At 51.5% G+C, this 15,887-nt stretch overlaps 1 long non-coding RNA gene across 1 annotated transcript in view, besides 6 other annotated features; it reads right to left on the reverse strand.

Moving 5' to 3' along the window:
- The window catches only part of LINC02351 (long intergenic non-protein coding RNA 2351), a 97,566-nt gene extending 94,358 nt beyond the window's left edge, over nt 1-3,208 (reverse strand). Inside the window, exon 1 of the long non-coding RNA NR_146567.1 lies at nt 3,019-3,208. This is a non-coding gene — a long non-coding RNA (long intergenic non-protein coding RNA 2351). The remainder of the gene's footprint in view (nt 1-3,018) is intronic.
- Nucleotides 3,214-3,789: an enhancer, noted in NCBI's record as "H3K27ac-H3K4me1 hESC enhancer chr15:98964233-98964808 (GRCh37/hg19 assembly coordinates)". NCBI's record gives its function as "activates a minimal SCP1, AML or CMV promoter by ChIP-STARR-seq in naive H9 embryonic stem cells {active_cell/tissue: H9 hESC(naive)}" and the evidence as "EXISTENCE:reporter gene assay evidence [ECO:0000049][PMID:30033119]".
- Nucleotides 4,054-4,163: an enhancer, noted in NCBI's record as "active region_10139". NCBI's record gives its function as "activates an Ori minimal core promoter by ATAC-STARR-seq in GM12878 lymphoblastoid cells {active_cell/tissue: GM12878}" and the evidence as "EXISTENCE:reporter gene assay evidence [ECO:0000049][PMID:35858748]".
- Nucleotides 4,367-4,942: an enhancer, noted in NCBI's record as "H3K4me1 hESC enhancer chr15:98965386-98965961 (GRCh37/hg19 assembly coordinates)". NCBI's record gives its function as "activates a minimal SCP1, AML or CMV promoter by ChIP-STARR-seq in primed H9 embryonic stem cells {active_cell/tissue: H9 hESC(primed)}" and the evidence as "EXISTENCE:reporter gene assay evidence [ECO:0000049][PMID:30033119]".
- Nucleotides 10,570-10,864: a silencer, noted in NCBI's record as "tiled region #4169; K562 Repressive DNase matched - State 4:PromP". NCBI's record gives its function as "represses a minimal TATA promoter and a strong SV40 promoter by Sharpr-MPRA in K562 cells {active_cell/tissue: K562}" and the evidence as "EXISTENCE:reporter gene assay evidence [ECO:0000049][PMID:27701403]".
- Nucleotides 10,570-10,884: a biological region, named in NCBI's record as "Sharpr-MPRA regulatory regions 4169 and 6096".
- Nucleotides 10,590-10,884: a silencer, noted in NCBI's record as "tiled region #6096; HepG2 Repressive DNase unmatched - State 4:PromP". NCBI's record gives its function as "represses a minimal TATA promoter and a strong SV40 promoter by Sharpr-MPRA in HepG2 cells {active_cell/tissue: HepG2}" and the evidence as "EXISTENCE:reporter gene assay evidence [ECO:0000049][PMID:27701403]".

Here is a 15,887-nt window from a genome sequence, read left to right on the forward strand (position 1 = left end):
GACCAGTGAGGGCCACACAGAAAGGGATGTCTACAAGGGTGTCACCGCTGCTATCAGTCCCAGAGACCATGCACCATGCACCCCTGTGGTCCAGTTCTCCACCATCCTCCCCAGGGACACCCAGTTATTAGGCCATCTTCAGTAGCCAATGGCCAGTAATAGCTTCTGGTGTCCCCTCTTCTTGGGACATCGGCATTTTAGCAGCACTCCAAGTGCAGAGAGGTGGCCCAGAGGGCAAGGGAGCCTGCCAACCGTCTCCCTGGAAGCCCCGCTGTGCTACGGCACACTGGAGTGTTTTCAAAACGATGTAGCGAAACCACCGCGGAGGTAAAAGGTCGATTGTTCCCAGCCACAGCCGCTCTGTGGGGACGACTTTATAGCGCAGCCCGGCCAGTACCGACAGGGAAAATGGCATTTGGGAAGGGTGGGAACTGCCAGCATCACTCATGCCTAAAGCCGGCCTTCCTGCTCGAAGCCAGGAGGCTTACTAAGGTCTTTCAACCACAGCTGAGAATAAATGAGTTTTTTTCAGAGTCCACATTGAAAGAGAGCCATCTCCTGACGTTCCAGCATTGCACAGATCCCATGGTAGCAAAGAGAAATGAAAATATTAATAGCTTGTGCTATGAGAAGGCATTTCAAGACGGTTCTGATTTTAAATCTGCTTTCACATGGGATACCTTGAGAAGAAATAAAATCGTCTGCTCTGTGTTCCTGCATAATTACAGAGACTCATCGGACACACACAAAATAAAGAAGGTTCTTTTTTTAAAAGCAGAAGTACTATATGCTTCGAAAATGCCAGTGTCATAAAAGACAAAGAAATGCTGCGGAAATGGTCCAGATCAAGGTATATAAAGAGACATGACAGCTAAATGTAGCATCTGCCCCTAAACTGGATCATCTACTATGGAGGAGGGGGGATGCTACAAAGGACATTATTAAACCAAGTGGCAAAATTAGAATACGGACAGTAGATGAGATGAAAGTATTGTATCAATGCAAATTGGTGTCAGTGACTGCACTGTGATGACATAAGAGGTTATCTCCATTCTTAGGAAATACCCACTGGAGTGCTGAAGGGCAAAGGGCCATGTTCCATATAATTCACCCTCCAGTGGCTCCGAAAAAAAAATTACACACAAGCAAGCTGAAATAAAAAGTACACAGGAGCGCCTTGTACTATCTGCATTTTTGCATCTCTTGTCAATTTAAAATTAATTCCAAATAAAAGCTCTGCTTTTTTTTTTTTTTTTTTTTTTTTTTTGAGACAGTCTCACTCTGTCACCCAGGCTGGAGTGCAGTGGTGTGATCTCAGATCTCGGCTCACTGCAACCCCTGCCTTCTGGGTTCAAGTGATTCTCCTGCCTCAGCCTCCCGAGTAGCTGGGACTATAGGCGGGCGCCACTACACTCAGCTAATTTTTGTATTTTTAGTAGAGACTGGGTTTCTGCATGGTGCCCAGGCTGGCCTCGAACTCCTGGCCTCAAGTGATCTGCCCACCTCAGCCTCCCAAGTGTTGGGATTACATGCATAAGCCACCATGCCCGGCCAAGTAGTCTGCTTGTAAATCTCATCTTTGAGTAACTGCAGGCAGAGGGAGAGAATGTTCTACCACTAGAGCATAAGCTGGCAGCATGGGTGGGGACCAGCTTGGGGCCCAGGAGAGGGCTGATTCCAATTTTCTCAAGTCCCACTGGATTTCAGGAGCTGCCCCAGGCCCTATCACAGTGGGGAGCAAAACTGACAGTCTCAGGAGGCTTACAGCCTGAAGGAGGAGAAGGAGGAGGAGAAAATGGAGGAGGAGGAGGAGGAGGGGGGAAGAGAAGAGCGGGGAGGAGAAGGGGGAGGAAGAGGAGAGGGAGGAGGAGGAGGGGGAGGCAGAGAGACAGGCCAAAAATCACACCAGTAGATGGGTCATAACAAACTGTTAAAAGCTGTAAGGGAGAAGTTCAAAAAGATCTAAAACACTAGCTTTAGCAACATGGTGATATCCTATCTCTTAAAAAAAAAAAAAAAAAAAGTAGTTAATTAGCTGAATGTGGTGTCCCGCATCTGTAGTCCCAGCTACTAGAGAGGCTGAGGCAGGAGGCTCGCTTGAGCCCAGGAATTCAAGGTTACAGCGGGCTTTGATTGCACCACTGTACTCCAGCCCGGGCAGCAGAGTGAGACCCCATCTCTTAAATTAAAAAAAAAAAAATCTTAAGGCAGTAAACTGGGGGGGCTGATATAATTTGGCTGTTTGTCTCTCCAAATCTCATGTTGAAGTGTAAACCCCAATGTCGCAGGTGGGTCCTGTGGGGGGTGTTTGGGCCATGGGGGCGGATCCCGGGGGTATGGCCTGCTTGGTACTGTCCCCACCACAGTGGGTGACTCTTTGAGACCTGGTTGTTTAACAGTGTGTGACACTCTCCCTCTCTCTTGCTCCTGCTCTCGCCTGTGATGCTGGCTTCCCACCCCACCCCCCGCCCTCCGCCATGATTGGAAGCTTCCTGAGGCCCCCACCCAGAGGCAGGTGCTGGTACCATGCGCTACAGCCTGCAGAACTGTGAGCCAATTAAACTCATTCTGTTTGTAAATTATCCAGCTGCAGGTATTTCTTTCTAACAATACACGAACGCCCTAACACAGAGCCCTATGAGAAAGTAAAACCAGAAACCTGAATTAGAGTGTGTTTCTGGAACACTAAAGCAAGAGCTGAGGGAGGCTTGAGGAGCGGGGCATTTGAGGGGTGGTCTTGAGGGGCTCGTTGAAGCATTTGCCCGAGAACACGCAGCAAGAAAGCGGCGAGGGCAGCTCCCAGGCATCCCAGATTGAGCAATTAGGTGAGCGGAGCGCCAGTCACTGAGAGGAGACCCTGCCGGGAGCCTCGCTCAGCTCCAGGGGTGCTGTCTACACAGCAATTTCCTGCACTCGTATTTCATGTTCATCCACCTCCCCCTCTCCATCTGGTCCCTATGGACACGTCGGCTCTGGCCGACCGCTTGCCCTGGTGCAGAGGTTTCCCACTGCCCTCACCTAGTCTTCTGTGCCGTGGCTGTGGTGCCTTTCTCTTCCTCAGAAGATGCCCGATTCCAAAGCTGCAGCCCTCAGCGATGCCTGTCAGCAGTCTCAGGGGTAGGGCATGGGGGACTCAGCACTTTCTCTTAAGCCTCCCAGGTGGATTCAAAGCTCCGTCCTTTGGGAGCCCCAGCGCCTGCAAAGCTGCGCTGAGGGAGGAGGTGGGGCCTTGGGTGGAACAGTCGGGAATCCTGGGTCCCGTGGCTCCTCCTTGCCCCTGGAGCCAATGAGGAGAGACACATCCCAAGAAGGCCCCAGGCTGGGGCAGCCCCCTCAATCGGGACACCACAGCTCCTAGGACCTCTACTGCAGACCTTGGGGTCTCTGGCTTGGGGCAAGGAGGCCCTGGAATCAGAGGCCTGGTTTGGAATCCTGCCTCCACTTCCCCACCTGTGTACTGGGGACACCACAGTCCCTCCCTAGTAGGGGTGCAGTGAGGGCTCAGTGCGTTTGTTCTCATTGCCGCCCTGTGTTTATTACTATCGCCATTACGGCCTCATCCTCCAAGGAGACTGCTGCTGGAAAGGCCGTGGTTGCTGCGTGTGTCCCGCAGCCCCCTGCAGCCAGCGTCTCCTCGGCCCCGGCCCGACCCTGCCGTCCCTGCTCTGCTCCCTCAGCGACCGCAGACCCCTCACGCACATGCCCAGCCCTGCAGTCCTACTCTGCCACCCCAAGGGGCTTGGGCTTCAGTGGGGGCAGCGTGCGGGGCGTGGAGAGGGAGACGTGTAAAGCCCTGAGAGGCTCTGCAGCCACAGTCCCGCAGTCAGCGTTCCCTCTCGGCCAAGCCTCCTGGCTGCACATCGTTTCCCGGGCATCTCAGTGAGACCGGCCTCGGCTCACAGCGGCACGTTGTTTTTACACTTCGGGGACTCTGGTGGGACCGCGGGAAGCCAGGAGGCGGGCGCGCCCCGGGAGCCGATAGGAAAGTGCAACAGCGCCATCTAGTGGCCGCGCGGGGAGGCTGCGGAGCGCGCGCCGCGACCCGGGATCCACCGTCCGCAGGAAAACGTGTTCCCTCCGATGCGTGGTCACAGCGCGGCAGCGCGGCCTTGGGAGCTTCTTAAACAACAGGTTAGCTATCGCTGCCGCCTCAGTAAGAGAAGTCAAGGCCAAAACGCTTAAAGGATTTTGACCTATTCGGCTTGGTGGAGAGCGCTAAAAGGGGACGCTATAGCGGGATTCTCAGCTCTCCTGGGCTAGTGGGACCCCCGGTGCGCCGCCGCCGATGGGGTCTTAGGGCCTGTCTGTCTGGGCTAGAGCCGGCCCGGGAGCCTGTTTGCGGGGAGTGCGGGTCAGCAAAGCTGTCACAGAAAATCCTCCTCCAAAGGAAGGAAAAAACTGTGTTCTCAGGGAAGGTACCCTACAGAGCGCAGGTCCCCACCCCTGAGCGTGCATCGGCGTCCCCCGGAGCGCTTGTTGAAACAAGGATTCCCGGGCCTCCCTGAGGCTGTGATTCGCAGGTCTGGGGTGAGAGCTGAGGATCTGCATTTCTAGCAAGTCCTCTGTTGATGCTGATGCTGATGTTGCTGGTCCGGGGCGCACCTTCAGACCCACTCTTAAGCCTCATGGCTATTTAAGCTGGGCTACTTCTTCCTGAATATTTGAAAATTCCCGTGGTCTACACTTACCCTGCTCCACCTACAATGGCAGAGTTCCAGAGCCTCAGTGTGGGACTTTTCAGGAAAAGCCAGAGAGGCGCTTTGGGGGCATGGGAAAGGGGGTACGATGGAGCTGAACGTGGAGCTCTCTCCCACCCGCTGAGCTCTGGCAGCCCAGATCCACCAGGAGTTGAAGTCGGACCCAGCCCCAGGCCTGCAAAGGCTGTTGGTCCCCAAGGCAGCATCCAGACAGTCAGTGAGGGCAAGATGCTTACACTCTGGAGGCTTACATTCTGTGGAGGACAGGTCTGAGGTCATCTGTGCAACATAAACGCTCGTGGATTTCCACTACCTTTACAGACAGAATTGCACTGGCGACATTTTATGCTAGAGATTTATCGACACAAATGAGAAGTTTCTGTTCTGATACAACCACCATGATTTCATGAGAGGGTTGGTTCTTCAGCCTGCAGTCTGTGGGTCTCTGGCTAACACTTAGGCCAACAAGACCACGTGTGCATTCAGTCAATCGGAGGTGAGCAGTGCTCTTTAGTGCCGTCCTGTTACATTCCAGCCAGTCAGACAGCAAGCGTATTCAGCCAATCAGAAGTAAGCATTGCTGTGCACTCCATCCCCATCACATTCAGCCTAATCAGACCACAAATGCATTCAGCCAATCGGAAGTGATCACTAGTCTGAGCCCTCACCCACCGGGATCCATAATATTGTTATACCTGTTCTATTAATTCATAAATGGCCTTCATTGATGTGGCCGTTAATATGTGCTGTAGATCAGCTGAAGAGTGATGTGCCTGCCCTAGGAACCAACTGTTCATCACAAATGTATGCCCATGACAAAAATGTATACATCAGGCTGGGCACAGTGGCTCAAGCCTGTAACCTCAACACTTTGGGAGGCCGAGGCTGGAGGATCACCTGAGGTCAGGAGTTCAAGACCAACCTGGCCAACATGGTGAAACCCCATCTCTACTAAAAATTCAAAAATTTAGCCGAGCATGGTGGCACGTGCCTGTAATTCCAGCTACACAGGAGGCTGAGGCAGGAGAATCGCTCGAACCCAGGAGGCAGAGATTGCGGTGAGCTGCAATTGCGCCCATGCACTCCAACCTGGGAAACACAGTGAGACTCCATCTCAAAAAAAAAAAAAAAAGAAAAGAAAAAAGAAAAAAAAGTATACAAGCAAGAAAAGTTAACACCGCCGGAGTTGATTTATCCATTAAGTACATAGGCATCTTGTCCAAGGCCCAAGGAAATATTTTAATTTATTTTTTAGAAAAGTAAGTAAATACAATCTGTCTTGGAGTATGTTTGTCTTTATACTAACACAGTGCCAAAATATATTTTTTAATATTTTTATGGAGGAAGGGGCCTATGAAGGCAAAAGTCCCTAAGGCCCAAGGAAGTCATGCTTCAAGCAAATAGGAAGAATTGGATCATCCTGAAGGCCTGTACAGCTCTAACCATCTGTGGTTGCATATAACCATTCTCTTTTCCCTCCATTATTACAAAAGATAGTAGACTTCGGAGAAGGAATGTGTCAGTCTGGACTGTTGGTTTCAGGGGCAGAAAACCAACTCGAATTAACTTGGGCAAAAGCGGAAGATTTTTAACTCTTGTCACTGAAAACTCTAGGAGTAGTTCTGGCTTCAGTCAGAGCTGGGTTCAGAGACTCAGTAAATCCCAAGTTCCCAGGTCTCCCCATCTCTCAGCTCCCATTCCACTTTCTGGCCCTGCCCTGTAGTCACAAGATGGCAGCAGCTTTTTCACACTTACTTCTACTCTTTTCGGGCATCTGAGGTTCATTCTGTCTGGACCAGCTCAAGCCAACTTGCCACCCTGCGTGACCCAGGAGAATCCTATGCTCTGACTGGCTTAGGCCTGGGTCACCTGCCTTATTCTAACCACCAGGTAAGAGGCAGAGAGGGATTTCAGGCAAAAATCGGGCTATTCTGGAAGTGGAGAAAATGAATGCAGGAGGCAGATGACACCTGCTGGATGGACTGCCCTCTGATCTGCACTGTGGAACAGCTGCTCCACCTTACAGCTGAGACGCCTCCACCTACATCAGCTTATTGCACCACCTAGCAACACCAGGACTAGGATATCATCATCCCCTTTTCACAGGTGAGGAGACTGAGGCTCAGAGAGTCAAACTTCCCACCCAAGGTCACCTGCTGTGAACACAAAGCCACATCAACATTCCAGCTGTGTTCTGCCACTTAACCAGACTCCCAGTTCTGTGTTTTCTCTTTGTTGTACAGGAAGTGAGGAGAGAGGATGATCACAAACCTGAGAGAGGAGGAGGAGAAAACACAGGAAGGATGAAAAATCCCTGAGGAAGTTTTACCAAGGCGCCGCCCTGCCTCCCCGCCCTGCCCCAGGTGCTGGTCGGTTCATTGCTCTCCATTTAGGAGACTTCTTCCCAGCCTTTTTAGTGGTTTAACAAACATATTCATTTCCATGTCATCCTCACGATTTTGCCACTTGTATTTTTGTTTACTTATTTTCTTAAGTCAACTCATTATTATACTTGCAAACAGTATGTAAATATCAACTTCATAGGGCAACTGTCAATCAAAAGGAGTACCACTTGCCTCAAATAAAAATTAACTTCAGGATCAACAGAGAACTATTAAACTTAATAACAGCCATCCGCACAGCCCTCAAAATCATCTCACATCCAAAGCAGGGTCCTCAGACTCACTCTGGGGAATCAGAGCTACCTGGTCACACCGGAACACTAGCAATCACCATGCTCGTTATTCTGCCACATGCATTCTGCCAGGCATGCCTGCACCTCCCCTGTGTTCTGATATGCAGGGGAGGGAAGGCAGAGGGCCCTAGGAGCAGGAGGCACGTGCAACCCACTCCAAATGCGGCCAGCGTGCTGCGGGATTACAGCCCGGTCCGCATCCCCCCACCACAATGCCACTAGTTCTTCCGCTATCAAAACAGTTTCACTATCAAACTAGGGTATCAGAAATCCTCCCCTAACAAAAAATATTTCCTGTACCCTCTTTGGTTTTATTCCTTTGGGTAAGAGCTCTCGGCTCACTGCAACCTTCACCTCCTGGGTTCAAGCAATTCAGCCTCCCGAGTAGCTGGGACTACAGGTGCATGTCACCACACCTGGCTAATTTTTTTTTGTATTTTAGTAGAGACGGAGTTTCACCATGTTGCCCAGGGTGGTCTCAAACTCCTCAGCTCAGTCAATCCACCTGTCCTGGCCTCCCAAAGTGCTAGGATTACAGGCGTGAGCCACCGTATCCAGCCTAGATCGTTCTTTATAACAGCATGAAACAGGAAGGACCCTAAACATTCAAGAGGAGGAAAGCGGTGGTGTCCACCGTGGTGCAGCTATGTGATGAGATCTTAGGCAGACTTAAAGTATGACGGGCCAGGTGGGGTGACTCACGCCTCTAATCCCAGCACTTAGGAATGCTAAGGCGGGAAGATCACTTGAACCCAGGAGTTCAAGACTGTCTCTATTAAAAAAAAAAGATGATGGTTAAAACACTGGGGTGAAATAGGTAGTTCTCACATTTTTAAAAAAACAGGAATTAAACTGCATGTGCGGTATGATTTCTAGTATAGAATAAAATGCTTCACTTTTAAAGCAAAGTCTAGCTGTATATACACCAATAATAGCATTGTTAGTGGTGTAGTACTTGGGCAGTGTGTGGAAATATAGCAAGATATGACTAATTAAAGGCAAGGGTCCCTGTTCCCACTCCAGGGCCTCCCAGCTGCCTGGGACACCCAGCTCTGCCACTGCACGCCCTACACAGCTGTCACCTGGACCTCAGGCTAGGATGCTAACCCAGGTGTGTGCCGAGCCCATGAACTTCAGGGTTTCTTCATGCAGGACACCACAGCAGCAGGAATGCCACCAGATGTGGCAGAGTCCAAGTTCTCCTGGAGATTCTTTCTAGCTCTTCAGACTTTCAGCTGACACTCACACGGCGCTGATTGCATCAATACTGAGGGCGCTGTGAGCCCTGACCCTGACTTCAGGGAGCTTACAATCCAGCATAAATATCCACAAGTGGACCCCACCTGCCCCTCCTCGGAAGTCCCCTCCTGTATTCATCTCGCTGGCTGCACCTGCATCTGGTCCTTGGGAGCCAAGGGCTGTAGAAGGATAATTTTCTGCCATACCCACGCGTCTGTACCAGTCCTCAGCACAGCACTTGGCCCATGGAAGCCACCAGTGTGCATGGGAAGGATGACTGCATGAACCAGTGTTTTGTTTTGTTTTGTTTTTGTTTGTTTGTGTGTTGAGACAGGGTCTCGCTCTGTGGCCCAGGCTGGAGTACTAAGGTGGGATCACAGCTGACTGCAGCCTCAAACTTGTGGCCTCAAGCAATCCTCCCATCTTAGCCTCCCAAGTAGCTGGGGTTACAGGGATGTGCCACCATGGTCAGCTAATGTTTTCATTTTTTGTAGAGATGGTATCTCACTATGTTGCCCAGGCTGGTATTGAAATCCTGAGCTCAAGCAATCCTCCCACCTCAGCCTCCCAAAGTGCATGAACCAGTTTTAAAACAGTAATTAGAACTTCTATAAGCTGAGAGCATGCTATCCTTAAGTCGGTAGTCCCCGGAGGATGGGGCACCCTGTGGCTGGGAGGATCTTGGGCACCTCTGTTAACCAGTCCCAGCTTGGTTTAACTAGGGGGAGGGCTTCTTGGGCTAGAAGGGCATCTTCCATCCCTCCCACCCCAATTCAAGTACCAGGTCTGCCTCCCCCAGCTCCCAGCTATCTCAGTTCAACCTCCCTGGGGGCAGGTAGGGGCGCCCGGCCCCAGCACGTTCTGTTGGATGTTCCACCTCCTTGTTCCCTCTCTTCCCTCTTCTCACCCCCAGTTCCATTCTCATCGTTGCAAGCCAGGGCCACTGTGAACTTGGCATCCCTGGGACGCTGCACATTTACCTTCATCTTCCCAGCGAATCCTTCCAGAGAGACACTGTCCCCATTTTATAAACGAAGCACACTGGCCCCAGAGTATTTTGGCTGCTGCTGCTGCTGCTGCTGAAAAGAAGCCAAATAACACATCAAAAAAACTACAGATGAAAATGGGGCCAAATTGATGACACAGAACAGAAGGGAGTCCAGATCACAGCTGGATCGGGGGGTGCCTCTTGGCCCATGGCCCCCGTGTTTTCTATAGAATGCCCAAGGGCCAGAGAGGCTAAGAGGGAGAAAGTGGGCGGCCCCCACTGCACCCCCCAGCTTTTGTGCCCGGGTGGGGAATCCCAAGGAATACGTGAGTCTCAAGGCCCCCCACTTTCAACCTGTGGTGAAGGGAGGCAGGGTGCATTGCAGTGGGTTAGTTGAATTGTTTACGTATGTATTTATTTATTTGCAAGTCTATGGGGTTAATGAAGTAATTAGGGAAATCTGGGGTCTGCACTCCTGGACTTACAATGAAAGCTAGACATTTTTTTTTTCGTAATCCCAGCACTTTGGGAGACCGAGGTGGGCGGATCACATGAGGTCGCGAGTTCGAGACCAGCCTGGCCAACATGGTGAAACCCCGTTTCTACTAAAAATACAGAAATTAGCTGGGCGTGGTGGCGGACGCCTGTAGTCCCAGCTGCTTGGAGGCTGAGGCAGGAGAATCGCTTGAACCCGGGAGGCAGAGGCTGCAGTGAGCCGAGATCGCCACTGCACTCCAGCCTGGGCGACAGAGCGAGCGAGACTCAGTCAAAAAAAAAGAAGAAGAAAAGACACGCGAGCCCCTTTGAAGAATAAATCTCAGCTGTGTTATCTGTCTTGTCACAGCACTGAAACGTGGGGATGGGGAGAACGTAGTTCCACGTTGGCACAGATGAGCTGTTTACATCGAGGCGGACGAGCAGGCAGGAGCGTGCAGTCCGTGCGGCTCTGTTTCTTTCCCCTGTTAAGCGCAGAGTTTCTAGCTGCAGCTAAAGACGCCCACCCAGGCCGAGCGCCCTTGGATTCTGTGGGAGGGCGGCCCCGCGTCCACCGCCTGGGGGCACCGACTCGGGGCTGCGGACCTCGGAGCGCGCCCGGCGGGCTTTGGTTTGGGCAAGGCTGCCATCGTGTGGCCGCCGTGGGTATTTCCCTCGGAAAGCGGCCGGGCAGCGAGCAGGCGCCCGCGCCTCTTCTTTTTACGGGAGTCCGCGCTCTCCGCAAGTCTGTCCTGAGATCGCCGTTTTCTCCCACCAGCCAGAATGGGGCTCACTGCTGCAACCCGGGTCTCAGTCTTCTCCAGGGCACCTCCTGGGCCGTGCCCCGAGCCTTGACTGCGGCAGGCGGTGTTTTTTCCTCTAAAGGAAGAACTTGCCTGTCAGGGCAGTCCACAGTCCAAAATGTGACGCATACCGGAGCTCAGGCCTGGTATCAATCTTAGCACAGCATTTCGGGCTGAATAACTCTGTTATGGGAGCTTTCCTGCCTCTACCCACTAGATGTCAGTACCACCTCTCACCCAACTGTGACAACCAAAAATATCTCCAGACATGGCCAAATGTCCAGGGTTAGGAGGCAAAGTTACCCACCTGAGAACATAAGAGGGAGTGTACTCGTTTCCCATTGCAACTGTAAGAAATTATCACAAATTTGGTGGCCTAAAACTGCCAGGATTTCTTACCATACAGTTCTGGAAGTCAGAAGTCTCAAACAGGTCTTGCTGGGCTGAGGTCAAGCTGGTTCCTTCTGGAGGCTCCAGGGGAGAATCTGTTTCCTGGTCCTTTCCACACAGGCGGCCTGCATTCCTTGGCTCATGGCCCCTTCCTTCATCTTCAAACCCAGCAATGGCTGACTGTGTCTCACGCTGCGACGCTCTGATGGTTCTCTGGCAGTCAAACCTTTCTGTGTGTCCCTCATTTAAACAACCCTTGTGATCACACTGGGCCCACCCAGAGGATCCAGGATAATCTCTCCCTCTCACAATCTTTAGCTTAATCGCATCTGAGAAGTCCCTTTTACCAGGTAAGGTAACTGATACGGTTTGGATGTGTCCCCACCCAAATCTCATCATGAATTGTAGCTCCCATAATTCCCATGTGTGGTGAGAGGGACCCAGTGGGAGATAATTGAGTCACGGGGCACCTTCCCCCATACTGTTCTCATGATAGTTAATAGGTCTCAAGACCTACTAACTATCTCAAGTGGTTTCATAAGGGGAAACCTCTTTCACTTGGTTCTCATTTCTCTCTTGTCTGCTGCCATGTAAGACGTGCATTTCGCCTTCTGCCATAATTGTGAGGATTCCCAGCCACGTGGAACTGAGTCCATTAAACTTCTTTTTCTTTATAAATTACCCAGTCCCAGGTATGTCTTTATCAGCAGCATGAAAACAGACTAATACAGTAACACACTCACAGGTTCCCAGGATTCCCATGTGAGCATCTTTGGGGGCTGCCATGAGAAGATACAAGTGTAAGCCTTGACCAGGCTAGAGCAACAGTGCAGATGAGTGACACTGGCCAGTGAGTGGTGGGGATATGCCCTCCAGGAAAGGGACCGCAGTTTCCAGGCCCTAAAACGTCTCATCTGCTGACTAATTTGAACCCTCAAGCTGCCAGTTTACAGACCCTGACTCATCCTCTACCTTTCACCAACGAGAACCCCGGCGACCCAGAAGGAAAGTGATCATCCCAGCCCTCTCTGGAGTAAGGAGCCAGGCTGAAGCCAGACCCCAAGCTCTTCCCAGTCCTGGGACACAAGTCCATGTTACCCACCCTCAAAGGGAAACATTTCTGTGCTGTGGGATTTCAAGCTGTGCATGAGGCCAGGGAGGAAGTGGTGGTCCCCACACCATCTACACTCCACACCCCCCACCAGGGGTTGGAGGCCGGCTGTGAGAATCAGCCCAGGGCCCTGCCTGAGGGGCTGGATGTGAGGGCAACGTGGGCACCATGACTCTCTGGGGACTGACAGGATGAGCTCAGGGGTCTGTCCCTCACTTGGAGGGTGAGACCCCTGTTTGGCTCTGCATTGAGTGTGAGGATATGGAGTGCCAGGGAGGGAGAGAGAAAGAAATGCCTTTGCTATTTTTATTGGCTTTGAAGTCTAAAATGCCAGGCTCACTTGGGCAGTGGTGGGAAGGGCATCATAGAAGTCTTCAAATAGGTTTGGGGGTCCCAGAGTAGAAGAGAGGTGCGTTCCAATTCCAGCTCGGAGTTCTCAGAGAATGAGTGGCCCCAACCCCAGAGCTCAGAAGAGGACTGCATGAGGGTGCAGGGTCAGCCCCACAGCAAAGCCAGGAGTCCCCAGTGGGGACAGAAAAATGATGCTTACCCATGTGGCCAGGGACAGAGACGATGCAGGTTGAGAGCGAGAACTTGCCGGCCACAACGTCACTTCCTGGTTAGGACAGGGGTTTGGGGTAGAAGCATCCGCAGACACCAGCAGGACCACACACCAGGTGTCCAGGGAGCCTGAGACCAGAGACCATGACAGGACAATTGTGCATGTTAGCTCTAGCCAGGGTGGGCCAAGAGCAGATGGCATCTCCTCACCAAGGCCCCTGCCCTTGGAGCTGACCCCAGGAAGAAAGAGGTACCAAAGAAAATCCTACTTGGAGTGAGGTTGGTTGGAAGGTATCTGAATCCACGCGACTACTTTTTCTGCCATCAACCAGAATGGGTGCTCCAGATACAGATACAACTCAGTTCTAGGAAAATCAAGCCCTAATTTTGCACACCTGAGTGTGAACTGTGTAAAGTGAAAATTAAGTATGACAATAGCAGAGGCATGTGATAACGGAGCCCTTTACAGATGGAAGAGTGCTGTCCTGGGTGACATCCATGGCACCCTCACAGGGACGTGCTGGGGCTGGTGTTTCATGCCTGTGGATAGCCAGGACCTGTGGGGCTCAGAGCTGTGCAGTGATCACTCAGCAAGACCTGTCCAAATGTGCCGGGCCAAGTCTTCAAAACACTGTGTGTCCCCTCTCAAGCCGGCTTCATAGGAGAGACAGTGCCCACTTCCCGATCTGTCACCGAGTGTCCCCACGCACCCAGGACCATCTGAAGCACAGGGCTGGGAAGCCGGCGGGGCTCTGCACACACAGAATCCAGGCTTTGCAGGGGTGGGAGCAAAGGCCTCAAGTCAGCTTGGCCTTCCCACAGCACAGGCGCCAAGGCCAAAGCTGCTTGGCCTCCAGAAACCACCTCTGCAGCCCAGGCTCTGGTCCACAGCAAAAGTGGGTGGGATAAAAGTCAGCGCGTGTATTGTGAAATCTGATTTCTTCTGCTCGACTTATGTCTGCAGCATTCAGGGAGCAGGGGAAGGTCTTTCTTTCTCTTTTCTCTTTCTCTCTCCTTCCTTCCTCCCTTTTCTCTTTCCTTCTTTCTCTTTTTCTTTCTCTTTCTCTTTCTCTCTTTCTCTCTCTCTTCTTCTCTTTCTTTTTTTTTTTGAGATGGAGTCTCTCTCTGTTGCCCAGGCTAGAGTGCAGTGGCATAATCTCAACTCACCATAACCACCACCTTCTAGGGTCAAGTGATTCTCACACCTCAGCCTCCCAAGTAGCAGGGATTACAGACACATGCCACCACACCCAGCTAATTTTTGTATTTTTTTAGTAGAGATGGGGTTTTGCCATATTGGCCAGGCTGGTCTCAAACTCCTGACTTCAAGTGATCTGCCTGCCTCAGCTTCCTAAAGTGCTGTGATTACAGGTGTGAGCCACCACACCTGCCCCCTTGTAGTATTTCTTTATGTAGCTTATGTGAATTTAATTTAGACTGATTTTCATGAAGCTACTTTACAAATACAATACTTATAGTTGGTTGTAATACCTACATTAGATGGGACGGATTTTATCTGCTTCTGTTGTTCACACGGTGATATGGTGTGGCTGTGTCCCCACCCAAATCCCATCTTGAATTATAGCTCCCATAATTCCCACCTGTTGTGGGAGGGACCCGGTTGGACATAATTGAATCATGGGGTGGTTTTCCCCATATTGCTCTCGTGGTAGTGAATAATCTCACAAGATCTGATGGTTTTATAAGGGGTTTCCCCTTTCGCTTGGGTCTCATTTTCTCTTGTCTGCCACCATGTAAGACATGCCTTTCACCTTCTGCCGTGATTAACCGAGGCCTCCCCAGCCACGTGGAGCTTTGAGTCTATTAAACCTCTTTTTCTTTATAAATTATCCAGTCTCAGGCATGTCTTTATCAGCAGCGTGAAAACGGACTAATACACATGGAGACCCAGCAGACATTTCCTCAATCGAAGCACCCCTATTGCAAGTTGAGAGCCATGAGGGAATGATCGTAAAAAGAGCCTACCTAGTCCTGTGACTGGCGTCACCTGGGAAGATTATACCGCAATCCGACCCGAGGAGACGCCCTCCCAATCCCATGGAATTGGAACAGAACCTGGGTGCCCAAGGACCCAAAGCCATCTGCTGGGAGCCCATCCTGTACAGCATCGGCCGCCCACTAAGAATGGCTCAAATCTCAGGCAGTGAAGATCACCCAGGTTCACAAGTCCTGTAGCCCGTCTGTCTGCACATTGTCAAGAATCCCTGTTAGAAGGGTTTGCTGCCTAGAAAATCTGAAGGTGACTTTTTTTTATTTTTTTTTTTGAGACGGAGTCTCGCTCTGTCGCCCAGGCTGGAGTGCAGTGGTGCGATCTCAGCTCACTGCAAGCTCCGCCTCCCGGGTTCACGCCATTCTCCTGCCTCAGCCTCCCGAGTAGCGGGGACTACAGGCGCCCGCCACCACGCCCGGCTAACTTTTTGTGTATTTTTAGTAGAGACGGGGTTTCACCGTGTTAGCCAGGATGGTCTCGATCTCCTGACCTCGTAATCCGCCCGCCTTGGCCTCCCAAAGTGCTGGGATTACAGGCGTGAGCCACCGCGCCCAGCCCTGAAGGTGACTTTTGTTTGGTGGGAAGGAAAGTTCAGAAAGATGAGGCAACTCTATTAAACAGAGTTAGTTGGCACTAAAGCACCCTCCCGGAAGCACTTCAGTGGTTGTGGTCACATTAGGATTTTCCTGCCAGGAAAGAAATTATTCCTTCCAGTTGTGTCTCATCTGATGCTGAAAATAACACAAGACCTTCCTAGAGCCAGAAATCACAGCTGCGTAGATACCGGACTTAACGGACCTCCCGTGACTGCATTGCTGTGGTTTGAGCTCGGTAGAATACCCAGCTCCAATCCCTCTTGCTTTGCCATGGTGATGTTTTGTGCCCTGTGTGAAATGGAGAAGCCAGGGGAAAAGAGGA

Source organism: Homo sapiens, chromosome 15, assembly GCF_000001405.40.
Source record: "Homo sapiens chromosome 15, GRCh38.p14 Primary Assembly".
In the NCBI taxonomy this organism is placed as follows: domain Eukaryota; kingdom Metazoa; phylum Chordata; class Mammalia; order Primates; family Hominidae; genus Homo; species Homo sapiens.